Source organism: Homo sapiens, chromosome 1 (genome assembly GCF_000001405.40).
Source record: "Homo sapiens chromosome 1, GRCh38.p14 Primary Assembly".
NCBI lineage: Eukaryota > Metazoa > Chordata > Mammalia > Primates > Hominidae > Homo > Homo sapiens.
The window spans coordinates 37,610,374-37,635,906 of record NC_000001.11 but is presented as its reverse complement, the minus strand read 5'-3'; the positions used below and the strand labels follow the sequence as shown (position 1 = coordinate 37,635,906).

At 52.3% G+C, this 25,533-nt stretch overlaps 1 protein-coding gene across 5 annotated transcripts, besides 7 other annotated features; it reads left to right on the top strand.

Annotated features, from left to right (window-relative positions):
• Positions 614 to 1,140: an enhancer, noted in NCBI's record as "H3K4me1 hESC enhancer chr1:38100439-38100965 (GRCh37/hg19 assembly coordinates)". NCBI's record gives its function as "activates a minimal SCP1, AML or CMV promoter by ChIP-STARR-seq in primed H9 embryonic stem cells {active_cell/tissue: H9 hESC(primed)}" and the evidence as "EXISTENCE:reporter gene assay evidence [ECO:0000049][PMID:30033119]".
• Positions 1,015 to 24,557, top strand: RSPO1 (R-spondin 1). 5 transcript variants are annotated; one of them, NM_001038633.4, is made up of 8 exons: positions 1,015 to 1,341; positions 3,554 to 3,620; positions 3,885 to 4,063; positions 5,958 to 6,339; positions 19,232 to 19,423; positions 21,574 to 21,723; positions 22,015 to 22,203; positions 22,986 to 24,557. In NM_001038633.4, the coding sequence occupies exons 4-8, from the start codon at positions 6,246 to 6,248 to the stop codon at positions 23,150 to 23,152; spliced, it is 792 nt and encodes a 263-aa protein (NP_001033722.1). In that variant the 5' UTR covers positions 1,015 to 1,341; positions 3,554 to 3,620; positions 3,885 to 4,063; positions 5,958 to 6,245; the 3' UTR covers positions 23,153 to 24,557. The 5 variants fall into 5 exon arrangements, with proteins under 5 accessions (NP_001033722.1, NP_001229838.1, NP_001229837.1 ...); NM_001242909.2 differs by lacking the exon at positions 3,885 to 4,063 and having other exon boundaries at positions 5,958 to 6,018; NM_001242908.2 differs by lacking the exon at positions 3,885 to 4,063.
• Positions 1,141 to 1,668: an enhancer, noted in NCBI's record as "H3K27ac-H3K4me1 hESC enhancer chr1:38099911-38100438 (GRCh37/hg19 assembly coordinates)". NCBI's record gives its function as "activates a minimal SCP1, AML or CMV promoter by ChIP-STARR-seq in naive H9 embryonic stem cells {active_cell/tissue: H9 hESC(naive)}" and the evidence as "EXISTENCE:reporter gene assay evidence [ECO:0000049][PMID:30033119]".
• Positions 2,197 to 2,724: an enhancer, noted in NCBI's record as "H3K27ac-H3K4me1 hESC enhancer chr1:38098855-38099382 (GRCh37/hg19 assembly coordinates)". NCBI's record gives its function as "activates a minimal SCP1, AML or CMV promoter by ChIP-STARR-seq in primed H9 embryonic stem cells {active_cell/tissue: H9 hESC(primed)}" and the evidence as "EXISTENCE:reporter gene assay evidence [ECO:0000049][PMID:30033119]".
• Positions 4,733 to 5,246: an enhancer, noted in NCBI's record as "H3K4me1 hESC enhancer chr1:38096333-38096846 (GRCh37/hg19 assembly coordinates)". NCBI's record gives its function as "activates a minimal SCP1, AML or CMV promoter by ChIP-STARR-seq in primed H9 embryonic stem cells {active_cell/tissue: H9 hESC(primed)}" and the evidence as "EXISTENCE:reporter gene assay evidence [ECO:0000049][PMID:30033119]".
• Positions 4,733 to 5,317: a biological region, named in NCBI's record as "H3K4me1 hESC enhancer GRCh37_chr1:38096333-38096846".
• Positions 5,148 to 5,317: an enhancer, noted in NCBI's record as "experimental_7814 CRE fragment used in MPRA reporter constructs". NCBI's record gives its function as "activates a minimal promoter by MPRAs in K562 erythroleukemia cells, with activity observed for the non-introgressed 1:38096347 variant allele {active_cell/tissue: K562}" and the evidence as "EXISTENCE:reporter gene assay evidence [ECO:0000049][PMID:34662402]".
• Positions 13,456 to 13,750: an enhancer, noted in NCBI's record as "tiled region #1490; K562 Activating non-DNase unmatched - State 20:ReprD". NCBI's record gives its function as "activates a minimal TATA promoter and a strong SV40 promoter by Sharpr-MPRA in K562 cells {active_cell/tissue: K562}" and the evidence as "EXISTENCE:reporter gene assay evidence [ECO:0000049][PMID:27701403]".

Here is a 25,533-nt window from a genome sequence, read left to right as displayed (position 1 = left end):
TACATCCATCCTCCTGTCATTGTAAACGACCCTGTGCCCTTAACTCAATAGTCAGGGCTCCCCCCTTCTCTCCTAAGAGGGAGATTCCACAGCCTGTCTTGATTACTCACCCCCCCTATACACACACACAATCAGTACATCTTTTCTGCTCTAGCTTAACTCCCACTAACTACAGTTTTAGCCCATTTTCCTTTCCCAATCTGAAGTGAAGCTGGAGAACAGCTGTTTGTCACTCTAAGAAGTGAGTCTCCTTCCCTCCCTTCTTCGGGCTTGACTTCAACATCATCTGGGTCACTGCAGGTGTCTGTAGCCGTTCAAGACTCATTCCACAAACATGTATGGGGTTCCCACCATTAACCAGAAGTTTGTAGCCTTCATTTCATTGAACCCTCAGAACAGATGAAGCCTTGCGATTCAGAGAGGTTCAGTAACCTAGGCATGACCACACAGCTGGTAAGTGATAGAGCCAGACATGAATCTAAGTGTTATTGTATGATCTCCCTCACTCTCACCTACCAGCTGCCTCTGGAGGTGTCCTCACCTCGGTGCCCAGGATCTGATAGCCTTGGTATTTCTTCTGAACTGGGAAGATGCACAGAAGATTTGACCCTGAAGGGGGAGAGGGTGTGGTCAAGACCACCAGGCTCTGTGGAGCCTGTTCCTTGTCACTTTCCAGGTTCCTGATGGGGAAACTGGGGTTTTCATGAGGGTCTCCGGCCGCGTTCTGACGCCAAGATGAGCGGAGTTGTTGCGGGTTCTCTGGCTGCGTGGAATCCCCGGGGCGCGGGGAGGGGCAGGGGACAAAAGCAGAAGGTCTGCCCCAGGGTCCTGGGGACTTGTCCCTCCGCCAGCCCCGCGCTCGGAGCGCAGAGCGCCAGCTTCGGGCAAGGACGTGTGGACTCCCGGGCCGGCGCTCCAGTCCATTTTTTCTTGCGGATCCCTGGAAGGGGGGCCGGCTCGCGGGGGGGACTGCGAAGGGGGGGATTCCCTCCCTGGTGCTCGCAGAGGACTGGCCCCTCTCCGGGCTGGGAGCTCCGGCCGAGCGGAGGCGCGACGGAGAGCACCAGCGCAGGGCAGAGAGCCCGGAGCGACCGGCCAGAGTAGGGCATCCGCTCGGGTGCTGCGGAGAACGAGGGCAGCTCCGAGCCGCCCCGGAGGACCGATGCGCCGGGTGGGGCGCTGGCCCCGAGGGCGTGAGCCGTCCGCAGATTGAGCAACTTGGGAACGGGCGGGCGGAGCGCAGGCGAGCCGGGCGCCCAGGACAGTCCCGCAGCGGGCGGGTGAGCGGGCCGCGCCCTCGCCCCTCCCGGGCCTGCCCCCGTCGCGACTGGCAGCACGAAGGTGAGTCCCCTCGTAGCTGCCCCATCCTTCTCCCCAGCGCCCCCTTCCCCGGGAGCTGGGGCGCGGCGGGCCCTCCCGTCGGGGCTGGTTCTAGCTGGGTGCGTGGGGGGAGACAGAAAGGAAGGGGAGTCTGATCGCTCTCCGGTCGGCGATCAGGACAGGGCACCTCCTGCACCCTTCCTGCAAGTCTGCCGCCCCCGTCGGCCCTCAATCCAGCAGGCAGCCTCTTCCCCTCGAACTCCCCTCCATCCCGCAGCCCCGGGTGATCATCCTCACTCGCAGTCCTGAATTCCCCAAGTCCACCAGCCCTGTTTATACCCCGCCTCCAATCCAGAAGTTCTTGATCCTGGGGCTCATTGGCTCGGATTCCCCCAAGTCCCACGGTCTCTGGTGACCCCCACCCCAGTCCGCAGCCTGGGCCTGGGTTCGACGTGGCAGGCGGCATGCGCTGCGGCCCCCGGTGCGCAGCGAAGTGGCGCGGCTCCCTGGCCCTCGGGGTCTGGCGCTCAGGAACCGATGGTATCGCTTAGTTGGGGAGAGGTGGGGGCTATGTTCGCCCGGGACTCCCTGGAGGGCCGGGACAGACTTGGAGTGAGTGTGCTTGGGGGCAGGAGTTTTCTTGTGAAACTGGCCTCTCAGACGTGGACAGCTCTCTTGGCTCTTGAGGGCCAGCCAGGGGAACCTCAGGTCCGCGTCTCCCTCGGCACCTGTTGGGGCCTCTGCGGGATGGTGGGGGAGGGAAGAAGAATGTGCGCGCTTGCGGGGGTGATGGAGGGGTGAAGAAGCCATCCTCCGCTGCCCTTGCTTTTGGAGGGGGGGCACGGCCCCAGCACCTGGCTTGGCTCCGACAGACAGGCTAATCCCGACAGGTCGGACAGGCACATACTTTGTCCCGCCCCCCGCCCGCAATTCTTCTGCCCCCGCCTGCCAGCCTGCTGGGCGGCCAAAACTCTCCAGCCTGTAGCCCGGCCCGGGGAGGGCTAATGCGAAATTATCTAGATAGTTTACATTTTTGGGTCTGTATCGGGCCCCTGATGGAGTACCACTTTATTCTGACGGTATTGCAGGCAAGAAGGTGAAAGTGATTCCAGCCCCCTCCCGGGGCTGAGTTTCTGCCCTCAGCTCCACCTCCAGCTGTGTCCCCCTCCCCGACCTGTATACTCCCCTCCGAGGCCCTTGTGGCCTCTCGCTTTGGTCTCCCTTCTCAGCTCTGCCTCTGCCACCAGCCCCGTCCCCACTTTGCAGGTCCACTCCCCAAGCTGGGTTGTGCCCCACACTCAGCAGCTCCCAGCGGGTTGCCCCGCCCTCCCCACACCCAGTCCTGGGTAGCAAACCTGAGGGCAGGTCCCTAACTGGGTCTGTAACCCCTGGGACACTTAACCATTCAGGGCCAGGTCTCTTCCCCTGTAAAATGGAAATAATTCTACCTTCCTCCTTCCATTGTGAGGAGTAAACGAAGACCTGGCACATGGCAGGTGGAGGGAGGCATCTAACAAGTGTGAATCCCTCACCCCCACAGTGGCAGAGAGAAATGCCCTTTCTTACCCCCACCAATAACCTGAGGCACTGCCAGCAGTCCCCATTCTATCTGTGTAGAGTGAGCCTCAAAAACATAAACTGCCAGTGCCATATAGCCCATGGCTCAAAGGAAATCAGACAGAGGACTCTAAAAGAAATGAAGCAGCCTGCTTAAAAGGGAGTCATCAGCTCATATCTCCTCTCTCAGCCCTAGCCCATGCTGTCCATGTCTGCAAGAGTGCATGCCTGTGTGTGCGCATATGGGGTCAGGGACTAGATGCAGGAATGTGGAGCCACTGAGGCAGGGACCTGTGGCCCTCTGAGGCTTGGTGCTGCAGGGTTCCTAGTCCGAGACCTGTCCAGCATTTCAAATCAGATTTCATGTAAGATCCTGGATTTTCCACTCCTCTTTTAGAAAATCAGAAGATCTTTCAACAATCAGTCAGAGCTGAACGGCATATGCTCCCTTTAGATGGGGCATTTACCCTCCAGTTTACCCCCTCCACATCCAGCTTCAATCATATATGTCATTTGTACCCCCTGGTATAGAGGAACTCTTAGCCCCTTTACAGGGTTGATTCTATATGTACATTTTCAAAAAGTGCTTGCAACTCTTCCCATCCCAGAGGTGGGGGAGGCCAGTGTCACTTGCTTCAGTGAAATTTACATCTGGATCCTCCTTACGATTTTCCAGCTGAGATTGTGGTTTCCTGGTGATTCAGGTGGGAGTGGGCCAGAAGATCACCGCTGGCAAGGACTGGGTGAGTGTGGCAGGGGTCAGCTGAAAACTAGGACCTGGGAGGATTGAGAAGGAATTTAGAGGGAGAGGAGAGGGAGGAAAAAGAAGGGAGCTAACATTTGCCGAGCACTCACCCTCAATTGCCAGGCACCATGACAGGTTGGCACAAGGAATGCAGAGATGCATAGGGGACATTTTGTGCCCCAAAAAACCCCAGGGATATTGATCACGCAGTGAGTCCAAAGTCTTTCAGATCCAGGGTTAACACCAAGTTTGTCTAATGCAGTGTTTGTCAACTGTAAGGACTCATGGAACAGATCTACCAGGGATTCTCAGACCTTAGTTTGAGAAATGCTGCAATTAAAGGCAAATCCTATCACTCTGAGTGATCGCTTTGGTGTCGAGGCAATCAACCATAAAGATAAATGCAAATATGGAAATTGCATAACAGTACTCAGTATTAAGGTTAGTATCCAGATGATACAGAACATGTTCATATTGCCTTTTGAATGATTATTAGAATGTAGACACAAAGTGAAGCTTTGGTCATAACAAATACAGCAAATATTATTGAGTCATCACTGTGTGCCAGCACCATTCTAAGCAGTTTTGTGTATTAACTCATTTAAGTTATAAACAACAATAACCTTCATGCAGATAAGAAAACAGGCTCAGACCAGCTAAGCAAGGTAACATAGCTAATAAGTAGCAGAACCAATATTCAAATCCAGGCAGTCTGACTCTGAAGTTTATGCCCGTGACTATCATGCTGTACAGCCAGCCTCTGAGACTACAGACTTGGGCCAGAAGACCCCAGTTTGATAAACTCAACTGGACATCTATAATCTGTGGGTGAGAGAATTGTGTAGTGGGGGCTGGGGAGGATAGAAAGGCTTTGGTAAATCAGGCAGGGAGTACTGGAGGGGCGTGCAGGGGTTGGCAGCTGACGGGCATTTGGGGGTAGCTGGGGGCATCTCCTCTGGCTCAGGCCACAGCACCAGGTGGGATCCATCAGCCTCATGTAAACACTTCTCACAGGCAGCTTAACCACTTGAGTGTGTCTGGCCTTCAAAGCCAGCGGGAGAGGCCAAGGAGGGAGGTACTGAACTCCCTTAGGGGATAATGATTTATCTCCCGTGCAGGTGGGCTCTGCTGGGGCCTCCCTGACAGGCGAGGGGGTGGACTGGCACTGAAGAGCCTAGAGGGGAAAGGATTAGGACAGGGGGTGGGAGGGGCACCTCCACTCCAGCACCTCAGATTTCTCATTCCTGAGCCTGAACTCTCTGACTCTCAGCTAGCCTGTGACATAGTCATGCTTGTCCCCATTTTATAGATGTGAAACAGGTTCAGTGAGGCTACATGACTTGTTCGAAGGCATCTAGCCACTGGAGGGGAAGGTGATGGCTCCCTGGCATCTACAGAGACTCTGTGCTATTGGCCTGCATGCTCTGTTGTGGTGTGGGTGTGTGTGGGGGAGTGTGGGGTGTGCGTGGGCAGGCCGCTGCTGTGGAAGAACCTTGAGAGCATCAGAGCATGTGTGTGATCCCGTGACGGGGAAGCAGGGTTTTCATTCTCACTCCCAGGTTGGGCTCAGATGTCCAACTTCCCAGACACATCTGATCAGGGGAGGGACCGGCTCCCCTGCCCCCATCACCCCAGCCGGCCAGCGGGTCCAGAGACCTGGCTCTCGCTGGGCTGGGGGATTATCCCCATTCTCTGTGTCTCTGGCCAGGGCGGGCATTGCTGCCTCTTTTATCCTCTCACAAAGGCCAGGCCCGCCGGGCCTGCTGTGTCAGAGTTTCTGTGGCCGGGGGAAGCCTTACTTCCTTTTCTCCCGCCAAGCCCAGAGGGCCAGGCAGGGTCTGCCAGCTTGCCGGGGGCCACTGCTCTAACTCCAGGACAGGTGAAAGGCACATGGGTGACTCAGCCCCGGGAAGAAAAGGCTGAGGGGTCACTCATGCAAGGACAGAGAGAGAGAGAGAGCTCCTCTTCAAGAGACAGGATACTACTGCAGCATGAGGTCTGTAGGGTAGACTTAAGGAAGGACTTCCAGTTAGAGCTGGACAACATGAAGCAGGGGTGGGACCAGCTGGCTCCCGTTATTGAGAAATCATCAGTGATCCACAAGTTTGGTTTGAATGTCTGCCATATTCTGGCTACACAGGTTGCCGGCTCCGGTCCCAGGTTAGGGAATTCTGTAAGACAGGAAAAGGAGCAGATTTCTTCTAGAAAGGTGCTAGGTAGGTAACTTGTAATGTCCAAACATTTTGAGCTCCCAGTCTTCTGGGTAGGGCAGGAGGCATAAGTGGGAGTGTTCATGGTACTACAGAATTAACCCTTCTTTCTCCTTCCCTGACAGGTTGGTTTTTGGAGTAGTCCCTGCTGACGTGACAAAAAGATCTCTCATATGATATTCCGAGGTATCTTTGAGGAAGTCTCTCTTTGAGGACCTCCCTTTGAGCTGATGGAGAACTGGGCTCCCCACACCCTCTCTGTCCCCAGCTGAGATTATGGTGGATTTGGGCTACGGCCCAGGCCTGGGCCTCCTGCTGCTGACCCAGCCCCAGAGGTGTTAGCAAGAGCCGTGTGCTATCCACCCTCCCCGAGACCACCCCTCCGACCAGGGGCCTGGAGCTGGCGCGTGACTATGCGGCTTGGGCTGTGTGTGGTGGCCCTGGTTCTGAGCTGGACGCACCTCACCATCAGCAGCCGGGGGATCAAGGGGAAAAGGCAGAGGCGGAGTGAGTAATGGAGCATGGTGGGCCACAGCTGGCCTTGGGAATGGGAGGGGGCCACCCAGGAACTAGGGGTCTTCAGGAGTTTTATTCCATGATGACCCTTGCAGAGTTCCACTCTATCTATTATAGCTTTGTAGATCACTCAGTAGATGATCCTGTTTGTGGATTATTCAATTGGTGGATTAATTTGCTGAGATTACCCACTCTGTAGATGACTCACTTTGTCTGTTTTCCCCTTTGTAGACTCTGCTTTCTAGATTAACCCCTCTCTTGTGAGGATCCAGTTTGTGGATTATGCCTTTGTGGATTATGTGCTTTGACATAACACCAGCTTTGTGTGGTATCCATGGAGATGCTTCCCCAATCCCCCTGCCCTGGGGCTCCTTTTTTGGCTAAAGTGCAGCCATCAACCCTTTTGGGTTAGGAGCTCTGCACAACTTAGCACTGGGTAACAGGGCTTCCCCTGCCCAGATCATAGGGCAGGAACAGTGGAGTAGGGAGGGTCAGGAGACTGTCCACTGCTGTGGCTTTTAAACCATGCCTAGTGGGATTCAGGGAGCTACAGTGGCATCGAAGGGGAGACAAGCAGGCAGGGGTCTGGCCCGACCACGCTTCAAACCAGAGCAGTCTCACTTTTCCCTGCTTTTGGTAATGAGCATCCACATAAGAAGTCGTTGGAAGAGAGGGTTCTCATAGCTTAAAAAGAAAACCAAAATCCTATCATTGTACAGATGCTAAGAAAGGGGAAGAAACAGGTCTAAGGAGATACAGTTGATGTTGGAACCCAGGTCTCCCAATGCCTGTGGGCCCAGTCTTCTTGAAAGCCGAATTTGATGGAGGTCAAGGGTAATCTGTCCCTAGCCCCTTGATAGGCACTCCTCAGCCTCTGCTTAAGGTCTCCAGTGATGGGGCCCCAGTGCTGTAGGGGTGGCCACTGTGTGTGAGGGGCCCACACGAGGGAGATGGTGGGGGACTCCAGAGTCCCAAGTCCTCATCTGTCTTTTGACATCCCGCATGAGAAGATGCCACACCCACAGGCAGGAGATCTTCCTGAAGTCTAGCCCAGCTCCCTCTTGCTTCATGTTTCCCTGCAGACGGAGGCCCCCCAGTGAAGGCTGAAAAGCAGTGGGGTTTTGCTGGGGCTCCACGGGAGCAGCCAAGGCCAGGACTCAGCCCAGGGAGAGAAGCTCAGAGAATTGGTGAAGCTGAAAATCCCTGGCTTAACAAACAATTAGAGACGGTTAGGTTTAATCAGCAGCAAGGCCTTGATTTTCCTCCCTTCTCATCTGTTGTGGCCAGTATTTTGGACTCCATGGGCCAGATGCGGTTTAGCGGTTTATAATCGGTCTCCTCTATTTCCGAAATGAGAGAGAGAGAGAGACAGAGAGAGAGAGAGAATGGGAGGAACCATTCACATTCATGCAATGTGTACATGTGCTTAACGCTGACCCTCACCCATGCAGAGCCTCATGCCTGGCTAAACCAGAGGTCACAGGACCTGAGTTCAAGTCTGTTGTATTAAAAAGGAAAGAAGTACTAGACTTGGCATCAGAAAGGGCCTGGTCCTAGCGATGGCGAATCTCCTGCACCAATTTTGACGTGCTTGCTCGCTTTTCATATGGCCACATCTAACAGCCGTGGCAGCACATGAGCCAGTTTTCATTACCAAGTGATGTGAGTAACAGACATCCTTGATGGTAAGAGGCAAGGGTGGGGAGAGGTGTGGAGACAGGCTCAGGGGTGCAGGGAGGGATGAAGGTTGTGCTGTTTGTCAATACTTGTTATGTAATAGCCATAGTCATCGCAATCAGGAAGCTGAAATGCAATGTATAGGAGGATAGTAAGGCTTACATGAGATAATAGGTATATATATATAGTTTTGTTTTGTTTTGTTTTGTTTTGTTTTGTTTTGTTTTGTTTTGTGATGGAGTCTTGCTCTGTCACCCAGGCTGGAGTGCTGTGTCACGATCTTGGCTTACTGCAACCTCCGCCTCCCGGGTTCAAGTGATTCTCCTGCCTCAGCCTCCCAAGTAGCTGGGATTACAGGCATGTGTCACCATGCCTGGCTAATTTTTGTATTTTTAGTAGAGACAAAGTTTTGTCATGTTGGCCAGGCTGGTCTTGAACTCTTGACCTCAGGTGATCCACCCACCTCAATAGATATATATTTTTAACACCTTTGTAAAACATCAAGTTCTGTGTAGACTCTGGGTGCAAATCATTGTTATATAAACAATGTGTAGACCATTTTGCCTTACTGATTCTGGGGGAGTAGGGAAGGGAAGAAGGAAGACCAAGACAGCTGTGTGTGCCTGGCCTCTCGATAAGACAAGCGTGGAAGGGCACTGGGTGGACCTCGGGGCAGGGGTAGGTGTGCTGTGTATGAGCCTCAGGGTTGTTGACTCTGGCTGACAGTCCTCGGCTGCAGGGTAGGAGGGCCACCAGAAGCCACTCAATCTAAATCTCATTCTGAGCTATTATACACTAGTTTTGAAGCCATGTCTGATTTCGGAGTCTGAGTGATGGTCTGCCTGCATGGAGCGAGAAAAGTTGAGCAAAGAACTTCTCTTTAGCTGTGAGTGGTGAAGTCCCCTTGAAGTTCCCCTCCTCCACTCATTGAGGACCCTGCCCCTCCCTGAACTCCTGTTCACTAAGCCCCTTGTCTTCTTGCTAGCCCTCACCCCTGATCTGGGGTCCCTGCACCTTCCTGAGCCCTCATTCCCACTCATCCCTCGCACTGAGTAATTCTCCTTCCTGAGCCCCTTCTCCTCTCTGATTCTTGGGCCCCCTCTCTCAGTCCTGCCTCCCAGGAAGCCATCATTCCTTCATTGAGCCCTGACTTCTCCAGAAGCCAGGAGCCCCCTTTGTGCCTCTTCTCACTGCCCCATCCTCCATCTGGAGCCTCTACCCCTGCTGCACTGACAGCCTTACAGTCCCTCATCCCTCACTGAATCCCCAGTCCTTCCTTGGGTCATTCTGCAAATGTTCATTGAGATCCTGCAAGCTGGCCCTGATCACAGAGATGAATCTCGAGGAGCCCGCAAGCGAGTGGGGGAAGACAAAATGTCAATCCAGTTCGGGAATGCCGCACAGGAGAAAACCCGAGGGCATGGACAGCCCCGGGGAGTTGGGAGGAGGCATAGAGTGTTCCTTTAGGAAGTGGGGTGCAGCTAGGAGTAGCTGGGGAAATGAATTATCAAGGGGGTTCTGGAGAGCCCTAGGATTTCCACTGGAGAAGCTGTGCTCATATTTTTTCTGTTGGAAAGAAGTGTTTTGCCACTAAACAAGCCATCCAGAACCTACTGGGATCGAGCAAGGAAGCTGTCTGGGGCTGAGGGGAGGGTCCGGGGAGAAGATGCTGCAGGGTAGAGGTCGGGTTATTAAGCTCTTCTCACCTGCCAGGCTGAGGAGTTTGGACTTGGCCTGACTCCAGCTACAGTGGGTGAGGAGCTACTGAGGCTTTCATCAAGGAGCCCAGAGCCCAGCTGCATAGAGGGTGGGGGAGGTGGCTTGAGGCGGGAAGCAAACAGCCCAGGTAAGAAAAAGTGAGGATCTAAAGTAAGCTCACAGTTGAGCTAAAGAATCCTGGGTCTGGCTTGGCATGGTGGCTCACGCCTGTAATCCCAGCACTTTGGGAGGCTGAGGCGGGCGATCACCTGAGGTCAGGAGTTCAAGACCAGCCTGCCCAACATGGCGAAAGCTTGTCTCCACTAAAAATACAAAAATTAGCCAGGAGTGGTGATGTGCACCTGTAGTCCTGGCTACTTGGGAGGCTGAGGCAGGAGAATCGCTTGTACCTGGGAGGCGGAGGTTGCAGTGAACTGAGATTGTGCCATTACACTCCAGCTTGGGTGACAGAGCAAGACTTTGTTTCCAAAAAAAAAAAAAAAGAATCCTGGGCCTACCAGCGGGACGTGCCCAGGGCTTGCTGAATGTGCAGGTCCCAGGAAGCCACAGGGATAGATCCACCTCCTGGGACAGCATGTGGCCTGAGAGGGGCCCTGGCCTACTCACTTCCTCAGTCTCCTGGCTGAGGCCCCACTACCTATCCTCCTACCCTCGCCAACTGAACTCAGGTCTCTCTTACCAAACCCATTTCCTCCAAGACTAGATTCCACCCCAAAACCAAGATTATCACTCTCTGGGTCACGGTGAGTTCTCTCCACCCACCACTGTCCCTAACCCATCCCACCTGAGTCCCTCATCCATGTTCCATCCTGGTCCCTCCACTGTAGTGAATTTTCATTAAGATCCATCCATACACCACCCCTCATCTCAAGCCTCTGTCTCATTCACCATATCCTCAACCTTATACCCTTGTGGAGCCTTATCCTTTACTGAGCTCCCATTCAGAAGTGATGGGCTCTGCCTGCCAAAGCTCTTTCTAGTGAGAGAAAAAGACATGTTAGCAGATAATAACAATATAAGGTGACGTTCACCATGACAGATTCAAGTACTAGGGGTGTGGTAACACAGAGAAATACTCCATTGAGACTTTGCAGGGAGGTGAGATCAGGAAGACTTCCTGGAGGAGGTGACTTTAGTTCTGAGGCTTGAGGGAGTTGGTCAGGCTCAAGAGGAGGTGGAGAGTGTTCTGGGCAGAAGGACCAACTTGAACAAAAGCACACAGGTGTGAGATAGTGCGACATGTCCAGAGAAACAAAAATGGTTTGATATTGCTTAGGAGTGGTGCTGAGGGGTAAGGTGGATGGGATGGGCCCACAAAAGCTTTTAAGGTCAGGCAAGGAGCTGGGTCTTAATTCTGTAGGTGATAGGGAGCTATTGATAGATAATAGGATGGGGTGTAAAACCATCAGATTTTTAGTTTAAGAAAGATTCCTGGGGATGAAGAAATTGGGAACTGGAAGAAGTGAAGCCCCTAGCGGGGAGGGGCAGCGATCCAGAACCATTCTTCAAGGGGTGTGGGGCTGAGCTGCCCTGGAGCAGTGCCTCATCATAGCCACAGCAACTTAAAAGGGCTTTGCGTAGGATGAAGGAGACTAGAAGAGGGGGAATTGAGGGCACAGCCTTGCTCTGCTAGCTCAGCGAAGTGGGCTGGAGAGCAGGGTGCTTGGGAGCTGAGGGAGGTGGGGTTGGGGGGGATGGTGGTTTGTGGGGAGGGCAGAGCTGGGGGTGCTGAAGAAGTCAGGAAGGAGGCTCCCTCCCCCACAAGCACCCCTTGCCCTCGCTGAGTCCACCCGGCCTCCTCAGCCAGGCTTACAGCCCTGCAAGGCCGCTTGCCCTGCACACCCCCCATAACAGGCAGCAGCAGGAGGGAAATTTCTTGCTTTTGTTCCTTCTTTTCTTTTAGAGAGAGGGTCTTGATCTCACTATGTTGCCAAGGCTGGTCTCAAACTCCTGGGCTCAAGATATCCTCCTGCCTCAGCCTCCTGAGTAGCTGGGACTACAGCATGTGCCACTGTGCCCAGCTAGAGGAGAGCTTTCTAAACTACCAACCCAACGATGCCCTTCCATTGGTCGCTTTCTTCACCAAGAGAATATATAAAGCTCGGCCGGACTTGGTGGCTCACGCCTGTAATCCCAGAACTTTGGGAGGCCGATGTGGGCAGATCACGAGGTCAGGAGTTTAAGACCAGCCTGGCCAACATGGTGAAACCCCAACTCTACTAAAGATACAAAAAAATCAGCTGGGTGTGGTGGTGCATGCCTGTAATCCCAGCTACTCAGGAGGCTGAGGCAGGAGAATCGCTTGAACCCAGGAGGCGGAGGTTGCAGTGAGCCAAGATTGCGCCATTGCACTCCAGCCTGGCCAACAGGGTGAGACACCATTTCAAAAAAAAAAAAAAAGAGAGGGAGAGAGAATATATAAAGCTCTATGTTCTTTTTTTTTTTCCTTTTGAGGTGGGGTCTTGCTATGTTGCCCAAGCTGGTCTGCAACTCCTAGGCTCAAGGGATCCTGCCTCAGCCTCCCAAGTAGCTGGAATTACAGGCACGTGCTATATAAAGCCCTATTTTCCATGCCATGGTCGATCCAGGATATTCAGTGCCTCGGAGGCTTTGCACTGGCTGTTCCTCCTGTGTGGAACACCCTCCTCCCCTAGGCTTCTGGGTCAGGGAGTGCCCTCTGCCTCTCTACATCCAGATATGTAACCAGCCCTGCCTCCCTCGTCCCGGGTGGGCTTTTGTGGCTATACCTCCACGTTCCAGCTCCTAGTAGCCCTAAGCACCTGTGAGGTGTGCAGTAAATATCTGTGAAATAAATGAGACTTAGTTTTCCTGCTCTGAATCATTATGCATTTCCCCCAAATATGAACCGTCTTCCTTGGACCCTTCCTTCAAGGGCACATTCTTACTGTCGAGCCCCCTCTCCTCTCCCCCCATCCCCTCACTGCCTCTCTGAGCTGAGAACATCCTGTGCTTCCTGTCCCCCTTGATAAACACCCCTTTCCTTATTGAACTGACCCTGCCTGTCACTGAGCCCCCATTCCTCTTCTGAGCCCCCAAACCCTCATGGAGCTCAGCTACCTGACCCCCTGGTCCCTCCTCCTAACCAAGGCCAGCTTTAGCATCTGAGCCCTGTGTCTTGATGCTCCCATTTCCTCGTGTCCTCGGGTCTCTACTCCATCAATGTCCCCTGCCTCTGAGTCTTGTAATCACATTCCCCATCCCCAGCCATGCTTTCCCCTTCTCTGTCTGTGATCTCTGATTTTCTCTCTCACCCTCCTGGCTTTATCTCCACTCCTTCCCTTCCACTCACTCCGAAGCCCACTGTGGTTTGGCTCTCATCTCCACCTCTCCACCAAAACTGCCCTTCTCAAGGTCACCTAATCAATGATCACTGAGAGTCAAGTCTTGCAGATTTGTTTCAGAGCTCACTGGCCTTGTCTCCTCCCAGCCCTGGTCCCTGAAGATCTCTCCCTTTTCAACCTTATTCCTGGCACCTCTGTCTCTCAGTCTCCTCCCAGCTATCCAAGGATCCTTCTCCACTTCTTTCCCAAGCTCCCCTTCCTCTTGCCTAGCTGTTGAATGCAGGTGTTGCCTGAGGCACCATCCAGGCTCTTCTGTTCCCACAGATCTAACTATCAGGTTCTTTTTTTTTGAGTCAGGGTCTTGCCCTGTCATCCAGGCTGGAGTGCAGTGGCTCAATCTTAGCTCACTGCAGCCTCGAAATCCTGGACTCAGTCAATCCTCCAGCCTCAGCTGGATTACAGGCACAAGCCGCCATGCCAGCCAACAGTCAACTTCTTGAAAGAGGGGGCGCTATTTCCTCTCTCTACTTCCTGACCTTCCTTTCACTGCCGAACAACTGCCTCCTGCTGTCCACCCCACCACCCCACCAAAACTACACTTACCAGGTCGCCACCACCAGGTTGGGCTCACATGACATCTCAGAAGCAATTGTCGTGTTGATGCCTCTCTCTTCTGAGTGTACTCTTCTCTGGGCTCCCATGATGCTATATACTTCTCAGTGTCTCCTGCCTGTCTGTTGGCTCCTCCTCTGCCTCTGAGTGGACTAAAGACTTTTCCGTCCTTCTCTTCAATGTCCAGTTCCTCTTCTCACTCTCCAGACCCACTCTTCTTGCCACCTCATGGACTGGCATGCCTTTGATGACTGTTCGATGTTAAGAACTCCACCTCTTCTTAGCCAAGCACGGTGGCATGTGACCGTAGTTGTAGCTACTCAGGAGGCTGAAGCAGGAGGATCACCTGAGCCCAGGAGTTTGAGGCTTCAGTGAGCTACGTTTGTGACACTGCAGTCTAGCCTGGGCAACACAGTGAGATCTCATCTCTTAAAAAAAAAAAAAAACTCTTAAAAGAAAAAAAAGAAAAAAGAAAAAAGAAAAAAGAACTCAGCGTCTCAATCTCCAGCCAAAATAGTTCTCTTGAGTTCCAGACCCATGTGTTCAATTGCCTAATAGACATCATTCCCTGGATGTTCCACAGGAACCGCAAACTCAACATGTCTAATACTTAGCTACTCGTCATTTTCCCACCCGAACCCCCTCCTCCTCCTGTGGTCCCTCTCCCAGGGAAGGGCTGTTACACAAGCCCAGCATCTCGAGGTCACCTTGCCCCTGCCCCTCACCCCCTCTTGTTGAATGCATCACCCTGTCTTGTTGACCCTGCCGCCTGACCATCTCACGTGTGTCTACTCCCTCCCCTCTCTTTGGCTCAGCCCAGCTCTCCTGGACTGGAGTTCTAGCCTGGGAGTCTTCCTGTCTCCACTCTTGCCCTCGGAAAATCCATTCACCACTCTACGGAGTGATCTTTCTAAAATAGAATCCTGACTGTGTCTCCTGTTGTAAACCTCCCACTGATTCCTTCTGACCTTCAGGATAGGGTGTGAACTCCTTCATCCAGGCTTAAGACCCTTCCTCATCCAGCCCCTGCTTCCCTCTCCAACTTCCCGCCTCATCACTCGCTCCAGGCTCCCACCATGCTGACCTGATTCCAGATTCCCTTCCCTGGGTGTGCCATACTTTCTCTGCGGTGCCATTGATGGTGCTGAAGAAAAATGCACACAGGGACTTGCTGCTAGTGGAATGGAAGGTGGGCAGCAGATCTGAAAGGGCGCCTTTTGCAAACCTGTTCTTAACACAGGTGATAATGAAGGAATAAATGAGTATGGCAGCATCGCTTGAGAGGGCTGCAAATGGGATGCCGGGATCACTGCCATTACTGAAACTAAGGCAGAAACCTAGAGGGCGCATTCATGTCAACAATGAATTAAATCAAAACAGTGAGTCATAGACAATTTAATATCTTTGAAGTGGAAGTGGTGCCTAAAATCTATAATGACTCGTGAATTTGTAACACAGCTGAATAAAGACCCAGAATAGAAAAATAATCCAAAGGACTCCCTCATAACTTCAATGCCGCATTTGGAGTATTTTTGCTCATACAATGATTATACCAATAAGAATGATCGTGATTTTTATTTTTATCATATATTATTATTATTATTATTATTATTATTATTTTGAGACAGAGTCTCGCTCATCACCTAGACTGGAGTGCAGAGGTGATCTTGGCTCACTGCAGCCTCTGCCTCCTGGGTTCAAGTGATTCTTATGCCTCAGCCTCCTGAGGAGCTGGTATTACAGGTGCATGCCACCACGGCCAGCTAATTTTTGTATTTTTAGTAGAGGTGGGGTTTCACCATATTGGCCAGGCTGGCCTCGAACTCCTCACCTCAGCTTCCCAAAGTTCTGGGATTACAAGTGTGAGCCACCTTGGCCAGTCTATTATTATTTTTTGTAATAGAGACAGGGTCTCCCTATGTTGCCCAGGCTGGTCTTGAACTCCTGGGCTGCAGCGATCTGCCCGCCTCAGCCTCCCGAAGTGCTGGGATTACAGGCATGAGCCACCACACCCAGCCCATAAATTTCATTTTCCAAAAATATATAGTCTAACCACACTTTTAGTTTCCATGCCACCTCATATTGTCCTACCCTGGGCTCCCTATACTTTGTCTGCTCTGCCTGAAACACATACTGGCTGAGAAATTTTATTCAAGTAATTTACCTTTCCATTCCCTCATCTATAAAAATGTGCATAATAGGCCAAGAGGGGTGGCTCACGCCTGTAATCTCAGCACTTTGGGAGGCCCAGGCGGGTGGATCACCTGAGGTCGAGAGTTCGAGACCAGCCTGACCAACATGGTGAAACCCCGTCTCTACTAAAAATACAAAAACTTAGACAGGCATGGTGGCAGGTGCCTGTAATCCCAGCTACTCGGGAGGCTGAGGCAGGAGAATCGCTTGTACATGGGAGGCGGAGATTGCAGTGAGCCGAGATTGTGCCACTGCACTCCAGCCTGGGTGACTGAGTGAGACTGTCTCAAAAGAAAAAAAAAAAAAGGATAATATATTTTAAAAAAATAACAATAGTACCTACCTCATGGGTTGTTGTAAGGATTAAATGAGTTAATACTTGTCAAGCACTGAGAACATTGCCTGCCACAGAGTAAGTGCTCAACATTTAGTAACACACTGCCGCCATTGTGGTTATTACTGTGTTATTGTGATGGTTTGGTGTTTGTTATCATCTTCCTTCCTTCGGTTGCTCTCCTTCCTAACTCCTCCATGTTCTCCTGTTCTGAAACCAGGAATGATTCCTGCAGCATAGACTCACTCCAGCAGTTGTCCGGAGTGGACATCCTTATCTCCCCTTTTCAGGGAAGCACACGACATCCAGGATTTTGCCCAGCTTCCCAGACTGGGAATCTGGCTCTGGGTCCTGATGACTCTGAAGCCTGAGCTCTGGGTCCACTACCCTGCACCACCTCCCACCATCTCTATTCTGATTTTCCCAGCTCTCTGCCTTCTGCCTGTATCTGCAGCTCCTCTCTCCCTGGCTCTTTTGTTTGTTTGTTTTGTTTTGTCTTTTGAGACAGTCTTGCTCTGTCACTCAGGCTGGAGTGCAGTGGCACGATCTCAGCTCACTGCAGCCCCTGCCTCCCAGGTTCAAGTGATTCTCCTGCCTCAGCCACCTGAGTAGCTGGGATTACAGGTGCCCACCACCACATCCAGCTAATTTTGTGTATCTTTAGTACAGATGGGGTTTTGCCATGTCAGCCAGGCTGGTCTTGAACTCCTGACCTCAGGTGATCCACCCATCTCAGCCTCCCAAAGTGCTGGGATTCTAGGCGTGAGCTACTGCACCCGGCCGCTGCCTGGCTCTTGTTGCCCTTCTTGATCAAGTTCAAGTTCCTTAGCATGATACAAAGACAGGATACCTTAACTTTCACCACTCCACTCCCATTCCCATCTCCACTCAATGTAACTACTTTCCTTCCTCTCCTTCCCTCTCAACTCGCTTCTCTTGCCATGGGCTTCTTTTCACGTCTGGCCCCACAGCTCACCCACACCCCAGGCCAAACATCTGGGAATCACCCCAGGCTCCTCCCCATGCCTCTTTCCTCTCTGCCTGTCAGCCACGATGGCCTACTGGTTGCATTTCCTAAGCATCTCTCAAATCTGTCTTTTTTCCCTCTATCCCTGTGGAACATAATTTTGAGACTTTCTCACTTTTCTCACCTGGATGATCTAGTCAGCTTCCTCCCAAACAGTTCTTCCATCTCTGGTCTCCACCCTGGCTACCAGAGAAAATTTCCCAACATGTAAATTGGGCCAGGTCTCATCCCTGCTTAATATGTTCTAATGGTTCCCTGATGTCTAAACAGTCTGAGAAGGTCCTGAAACAAGTGTTCTGTGGCCAAAATGCTTGGGAAATGCAGTTCACTCTGTCCCCCCTCAGAGAGTCACTGTGCACAGGAGAGTAATAAAGCTTCCATTAGGCCTGCAGTAAAGAAATCTGTTTAGATTTGTTTGACCCACTGGTTCCTGGACTTACATGACACAGTAGCCTTTCTCCACATTCTCCTATTCATAGTTGGGGGAATCAAGTTGTAAGGAATACTTTTTGGGAAATGCCATCTGGCAGGCTCAAGTTCAAGTTCCTTAGCATGATATAAAGATAGAAAACCTTATCTTTCACCAGTCCCCTCCCATTCCCATCTCCACCCCAAGTTATCTGCAATTCTGCCTTTCCCTAGTTTTACACCTCTGTGGTCCTGCTCCCTGAGTGCCCTTAATTCTACTTCCTAAAGGACAAATCTGTACAAATTATCTAAGACTTGTCCCCAGTGACACCTCCTTTGTGGCTTGTTTCCCTCCTTCTTTTGGGTCCACTATTGCTTGGCCTTGTGGCTGTCAGCATTCACCTATTTGTGGTCTGTCTGCTCCACTGAAAGATCAGTTCCTCTACAGAGTGGCTTATACACCTCTGTCCCCAGGGCTCACACTGCGCAAGGTCCATGGAAGGGCCTCTATGAGGATTAAACAAGTAAGTGAGATCAAAGATCTTGAGACTCAATGCTGGGATGGAAAACCATGAAGCCTCAAAAGATGGTTCTCTCTTTTTTTTTTTTTTTTTTTTTTTTTTTTGAGATGGAGTCTTGCTCTGTCATCCGGGCTGGAGTGCAATGGCACAATCTCAGCTCACTGCAAACTCCGCCTCCCAGGTTCAAACGATTATTCTCCTGTCTCAGCCTCTCAAGTAGCTGGGATTACAGGCATGCACCACCATGCCTGGCTAATTTTTGTAATTTTATTAGAGACGGGGTTTCACCATGTTGGCCAGGCTGGTCTCAAACTCCTGACCTCAGGTGTTCTGCCCGCCTTGGCCTCCCAAAGTGCTGGGATTACAGGCGTGAGTCACCGCGCCCGACTTCAAAGGATGGTTCTGAGCCAGGGTTTCTCAACCTCAGTGTCATTAACATTTTGGACCAAATGATTCTTTGCTGTGCCCGATGCATTGTAGGATGATTAGCAGCATCCCTGGGCTCTACCCACTTGATGCCACTAACAACCCCTTTCCCCAGGTGTGATCACCAAAAAGCTTTCTAGGCATTGTCAAATGTCCCCTGGGGAGCAAAATCATCCCTGGTTGAGACCCCTGTTCTAGGCATAGATTATTCCAATTGTCTTTGTGTTTCTGGGTAGGTGGTCCTTTTCTATTTCACTATTTATCCCTCTTGCCCTTAAAACTTTCTCAGAAATTTAAGAAACCCTCCTTCTACAACTAAGGCTGACTGTTTTGTGCTCTGGGGAGAGTGGATAAATTCCAGGAAGGCTGCAGCTTGGGTTGCTTCTCTGGGGATGGTGGAGCCAGCCTAGAGAGTGAACTCGTGTCGTGTCTGGAGCTAGGGAAGCACATGGGTCAGCATCTGTGCTAGCTCTCTGGAGAAAAGCTACTGGGAAGGTGTATAAAGCAGCCTTGCAGAGAGCTGCCAGCCTGGCCGGTGCTTTCTGAGAAGCATATTCCTTCTGTGGAAGGAAACATCGATCTATTCACTTCCCATCCTTGTCAGAATCTGGATAGGTGAGGTTCTCTCCACAGCCGCCTTCTCATGCCTGCTCCACCTTTGCAGTCAGTGCCGAGGGGAGCCAGGCCTGTGCCAAAGGCTGTGAGCTCTGCTCTGAAGTCAACGGCTGCCTCAAGTGCTCACCCAAGCTGTTCATCCTGCTGGAGAGGAACGACATCCGCCAGGTGGGCGTCTGCTTGCCGTCCTGCCCACCTGGATACTTCGACGCCCGCAACCCCGACATGAACAAGTGCATCAGTGAGTGTGGGCAGGGCTGTCGGGGGCAGGGGGCATTAGAAGCTCTGGACTGGGGGAGAGTGCTTTGAACCATTGGTGGCTGGCAAGAGGAGCAGAGGGGGCTCTGAGGAGAGGAGATGAGGCTCCGATTCAAGTATCCAGCCGCACACTTCCACCTTGGTGTGTAAATATCAGAACCCTGTCTCCTCCCTTCGCACCTGCCCCTACCTGTATTCCCAGAGGTCACCCTCCATGTCCCAACCTGTCACCCAAGCCACAGCCCTGAGTGCCAACCTCTCCCACCCCATCCATCCAATCACCAAAGCCTGCCTGTCATCTCCTGTATGTCCACACTGCCACTGTCCTCCCCAGGCTCCCAGCACCTTGCTCCGGGATCATTGCAATAGCCTGTTCATCTGTCCTCCAGCCTTCATCTGGTTCCCTGAAACCCATCTTCTGCACTTCAGCCAGAAAGACGCTTCTGAGACACACACCCTACCCCATCACACTTCTGAGACACACAACCTATCTCATCACACTTCTGAGACACAGAACCTATCCCTATCCCATCACATTTCTGAGACATACAACCTATCCCATCACACTTCTGCTTAAAAACCACTGCTAGCTCCACATGGGCTGCAGGGGAATCCAAGCCCAGGCAGCCTGCTCTTCCACTCTCTTCTCTCCCTGGTCTTCTGACTCCTCATTTCCACAACAGCTACAGCTCCACATGCTCCAAGGCACACGCTACCATATCTCCATCCCTTCTCTGTAGATGCAGCTGTGATGTGCTGGGGGACACGTGTGAACACACTCGGGGGACAATGCCAGTGCCCCCACCACTTGTTCAGTGCCTTGCCATTTAGAATGCATTTGCAGGTCTCATATCAGTTGAGCCTCACAACAACACTGGGAGGGAGACAGGACACAATTGATGGTGCCCTTTTCAGGGCTGACAACATTCAGGCCCGGAGGGTAAATGACTGGTCCAAGACTAGACTGGACCAGTCCAGCTCAGAGTTGGTTCTGAGCTCAACTCTGCTACTTCTTCATTGTGTGACCTTGAGCACATCTCAACCCCTCAATGCCTCATCTTTGTTTTTACCCCCTAGGGTTGTTGTGAGACATGCATGTAAAGCCCTTAGTGTCTGGCACTCAATGAATGGTAGCTGCTATTGTTCTTATTTTTGTTCTTATTTGACTGGCAACCAAACCCAGGAATCAGAGCACCAGGGAGGGAAGGAAGGAGGGAAGGAGAGAGGTGAGGCTGAGATAAGCCTGGAGGATGGTGGGAGTTTGTGAGGACAGAGGTGGGACCCTGGGAGCTACCCTCTTGGTCCTCATGGTCCTTAAAGTCGGGAGCTCCTGGCTACACCAGCTCCTAGGAAACTGGCAGCATGGGCTTCAGGTGGCAGAGCCTGGGAGGAAGTCAGCCCCGCCTGCACTCTGGGAAGGAGAGATTGTGAAAGACCCTGCCTGCTTCCAGCCAAGCCCTGGAAGACCCACCCTGCCCCCATTCCCCCAGAGGAGAGAACTGGCAGCAGGGAATCAGGGAGGGACCCAGGAGTCCTACCAAGGTTGTTGCTGGAACTCAGCCTTGCAGAGGCAGAGGCATTTGCCCTGGGATGGCTTACCCCTCCTCCATGCTGATTCTTTCTGCCAGGCAGGAGGAGAACCACAGTTTGGGACATTGCAGATGCCCAGCAATGAGGGAAGAAGAGATCATGCAGCCACTCTCTGGGGGGCCATTCTGTCCCTCAGTTCAACTCTGTTTAGGGTGGCCCTCTGGATGCTGTGAGATGCTGAAACTCTCCTGTCCCACCCCCACCAGGCCCAGACGGCCCCACCCTCCGCCTCTGAAACTGCTCTCTTGAGCCTCACCTTGGGCTGCAGGGACTGAGACTGGGTTCATGATCGAGTTGGCTGATGGTGGCAAGAGTCCCAGCCAGCCTTCAGGAGCAACCGCTTCAGCTTCTTCTTCCCTGGCCTGCCACTGCCCTTCCTTTCCCTTTCCTCCCAAGATTCCTCTGCAGTACCTGCAGCTCTAGGCCAGGGTCCTGCCCTCCATGTAGGTGGGTGTGGACAGAAGGGAGGGTATTGGGGCTGGGGATGAGGGGAAACATTCTCACCAGGCTGGGCCAGAAGCCCCCAATCTGTCCTCTCCTCAGAATGCAAGATCGAGCACTGTGAGGCCTGCTTCAGCCATAACTTCTGCACCAAGTGTAAGGAGGGCTTGTACCTGCACAAGGGCCGCTGCTATCCAGCTTGTCCCGAGGGCTCCTCAGCTGCCAATGGCACCATGGAGTGCAGTAGTCCTGGTAAGCCATGGCAGGCACTGTGGGCAGAGGGTCCAGGACCCCAGAAGGAGGGGCCGGGTAAGGGTCTGGCAAGAGAGCGGGTGGGCTGGGGCACTGTGCAGGGAGAGCTTACCCTACCACTCCTTTCTGAGTCTCCAAGGACTTTTCTGCCCTCTGGACTAAAGATACCTGCAGCCTCAGGTCCAGGCAGAAGGAAAGTGGGAGATGCTCCCCTGGGCTATTCTGGGCCAGAGGAGGAGACATGATCCCCTCCTCCTTGTCCTTCTCTCCCTTCCCTTCTCTTCCTGCCAGCGCAATGTGAAATGAGCGAGTGGTCTCCGTGGGGGCCCTGCTCCAAGAAGCAGCAGCTCTGTGGTTTCCGGAGGGGCTCCGAGGAGCGGACACGCAGGGTGCTACATGCCCCTGTGGGGGACCATGCTGCCTGCTCTGACACCAAGGAGACCCGGAGGTGCACAGTGAGGAGAGTGCCGTGTCCTGAGGGTGAGCTGCAGCCTCTGCCTCCCTGGGGTCAGGGCTCAGGCACCAGCCATGACAGGTCCTGCCACCTCTGCTTCCTGCCCACGGCTCAGGAAGAAGCTTCAGGGCAAGGCCAGATGGGGCACCCGCAACTCAAGACCTCATGCTGTCCAATCCAGATGCCATGTCCTGGCAGAGAACAGGGCCTCAGAACTCTGCATAGTGGAAGCTGGAAGCTTCTGTGGTCAACATCCTTCCGGTTCCCCCATTTCTTCTGAGCTAGTGGATGTTCATACTAGAAGGCCCCTCGGAGGCAGGATGGGTGGGTGAAAAGGGGCACTAAGACCCAGAGGGGTGTAGTGATTCCACCAAAGTCACACAGCCTGCAGTTGGCAAGGGGTTGGCTGCTGCTCTTGCCTGGCCCCAGAGGTGGCTGGTGGCGGATAGGGGATGGGGGCAGTCCTGCCTGTTCTGAGAGTTGCACTGAATACCTGGGAAGTGCTCTTGGTCCATTGGGATCCAAGGTCTGAGGAATCCATGAGGAAGAGGATGATGTCTTGTGTGCCTTGAGGGTTGGGGAGTGAAAGGGCTCTTGGGCTGCCTCCCAGTACTCAAGCCTCGGGGTCCTCTGAAGTGGCTGCTGTCAGAGGAGGTCACGATGACCCAACTACCTAGAGGCAGCATCTCCAGCCTCCTCCCTGCCTCCCCTTCCGGCTTCCTCACACTCCCCTCCTAGGGCCTGTGGCCATGCCCAGGGCCTCCCTGCACATCCTTTGTTGATTCTTCCTGCTGTTTGGTTGTTTCAGGGCAGAAGAGGAGGAAGGGAGGCCAGGGCCGGCGGGAGAATGCCAACAGGAACCTGGCCAGGAAGGAGAGCAAGGAGGCGGGTGCTGGCTCTCGAAGACGCAAGGGGCAGCAACAGCAGCAGCAGCAAGGGACAGTGGGGCCACTCACATCTGCAGGGCCTGCCTAGGGACACTGTCCAGCCTCCAGGCCCATGCAGAAAGAGTTCAGTGCTACTCTGCGTGATTCAAGCTTTCCTGAACTGGAACGTCGGGGGCAAAGCATACACACACACTCCAATCCATCCATGCATACATAGACACAAGACACACACGCTCAAACCCCTGTCCACATATACAACCATACATACTTGCACATGTGTGTTCATGTACACACGCAGACACAGACACCACACACACACATACACACACACACACACACACACCTGAGGCCACCAGAAGACACTTCCATCCCTCGGGCCCAGCAGTACACACTTGGTTTCCAGAGCTCCCAGTGGACATGTCAGAGACAACACTTCCCAGCATCTGAGACCAAACTGCAGAGGGGAGCCTTCTGGAGAAGCTGCTGGGATCGGACCAGCCACTGTGGCAGATGGGAGCCAAGCTTGAGGACTGCTGGTGACCTGGGAAGAAACCTTCTTCCCATCCTGTTCAGCACTCCCAGCTGTGTGACTTTATCGTTGGAGAGTATTGTTACCCTTCCAGGATACATATCAGGGTTAACCTGACTTTGAAAACTGCTTAAAGGTTTATTTCAAATTAAAACAAAAAAATCAACGACAGCAGTAGACACAGGCACCACATTCCTTTGCAGGGTGTGAGGGTTTGGCGAGGTATGCGTAGGAGCAAGAAGGGACAGGGAATTTCAAGAGACCCCAAATAGCCTGCTCAGTAGAGGGTCATGCAGACAAGGAAGAAAACTTAGGGGCTGCTCTGACGGTGGTAAACAGGCTGTCTATATCCTTGTTACTCAGAGCATGGCCCGGCAGCAGTGTTGTCACAGGGCAGCTTGTTAGGAATGAGAATCTCAGGTCTCATTCCAGACCTGGTGAGCCAGAGTCTAAATTTTAAGATTCCTGATGATTGGCATGTTACCCAAATTTGAGAAGTGCTGCTGTAATTCCCCTTAAAGGACGGGAGAAAGGGCCCCGGCCATCTTGCAGCAGGAGGGATTCTGGTCAGCTATAAAGGAGGACTTTCCATCTGGGAGAGGCAGAATCTATATACTGAAGGGCTAGTGGCACTGCCAGGGGAAGGGAGTGCGTAGGCTTCCAGTGATGGTTGGGGACAATCCTGCCCAAAGGCAGGGCAGTGGATGGAATAACTCCTTGTGGCATTCTGAAGTGTGTGCCAGGCTCTGGACTAGGTGCTAGGTTTCCAGGGAGGAGCCAAACACGGGCCTTGCTCTTGTGGAGCTTAGAGGTTGGTGGGGAAGAAAATAGGCATGCACCAAGGAATTGTACAAACACATATATAACTACAAAAGGATGGTGCCAAGGGCAGGTGACCACTGGCATCTATGCTTAGCTATGAAAGTGAATAAAGCAGAATAAAAATAAAATACTTTCTCTCAGGGAGGTGTCTCAGAGGATGTGATATTTGAGCCTAACTCTGAAGGATGGGTAGAAGGATTTAAGACAGACTGCTGCTGTCCAGTAGAAATATGTGAGCCACATATTTAATTTAACATTTTTGGGCCGGGCGCGGTGGCTCATGCCTGTAACCCTAGCACTTTGGGAGGCTGAGGTGGGCAGATCACGAGGTCAGGAGTTCAAGACCAGCCTGACCAACGTGGTGAAACCCCGTCTCTACTAAAAATACAAAAATTAGCCGGGTGTGGTGGTGTGCACCTGTAATCCCAGCTACTCGGAGGCTGAGGCAGGAGAATCACTTGAACCCGGGAGGTGGAGGCTGCAGTGAGCCGAGATCACACCACTGCACTCCAGCCTGGGCAAAAGAGTGAGACTGTCTCAAAAAAAAAAAAAAAAAAAAAAATGCCAGGCAGGGTGGCTCACGCCTGTAATCCCAACACTTTGGGAGGCAAAGACAGGAGGATCACTTGAGCCCAGGAGTTTGAGACCAGCCTGGTGTGCAAAACAAAATTAAGTAATAAAAAAAGAAAATGTTTTTCTAGTAGCCACAGTATAAAAAGGAATGAGGTGAAATTAATTTTAATTACATCTGTTATTTAACCATATATATGCAAAGTATTATCTTTTTTTTTTCCTCATAGAGATGAGGTCTCACTATGCTGCCCAGTCTGGTCTTGAACCCCTAGGCTGAAGCGATCCTCTTGCCTCGGCTTCCCAAAGTGCTGGGATTATAGGCATGAGCCACTGCATCTGGCCCCAAAGTATTATCTTTTTAACATGCAATCAAGGTAAAAAATTATTAGTGAGATCTTTTACTTTTTTAAAACTAAGTGTTCAATGTTCCATGTGTATTTTTACACTCACAGCATATCTTAATTTGGATGCTAAATTTTCAGCAGAAATACCTGATCTGTAATTACATGGCATAAAAACTAAAGTTGAAAAAGAAGATACACATA

Excerpts from the sequence above, each read along its gene's own strand:
- RSPO1 (XM_006710583.5), top strand. The coding sequence starts at position 6,246 with ATGCGGCTTGGGCTGTGTGTGGTGGCCCTGGTTCTGAGCTGGACGCAC. Across the intron at positions 6,340-19,231 it reads GGGGAAAAGGCAGAGGCGGA|TCAGTGCCGAGGGGAGCCAG; the intron begins GTGAGTAATGGA and ends CCACCTTTGCAG. Across the intron at positions 19,424-21,573 it reads CGACATGAACAAGTGCATCA|AATGCAAGATCGAGCACTGT; the intron begins GTGAGTGTGGGC and ends TCCTCTCCTCAG.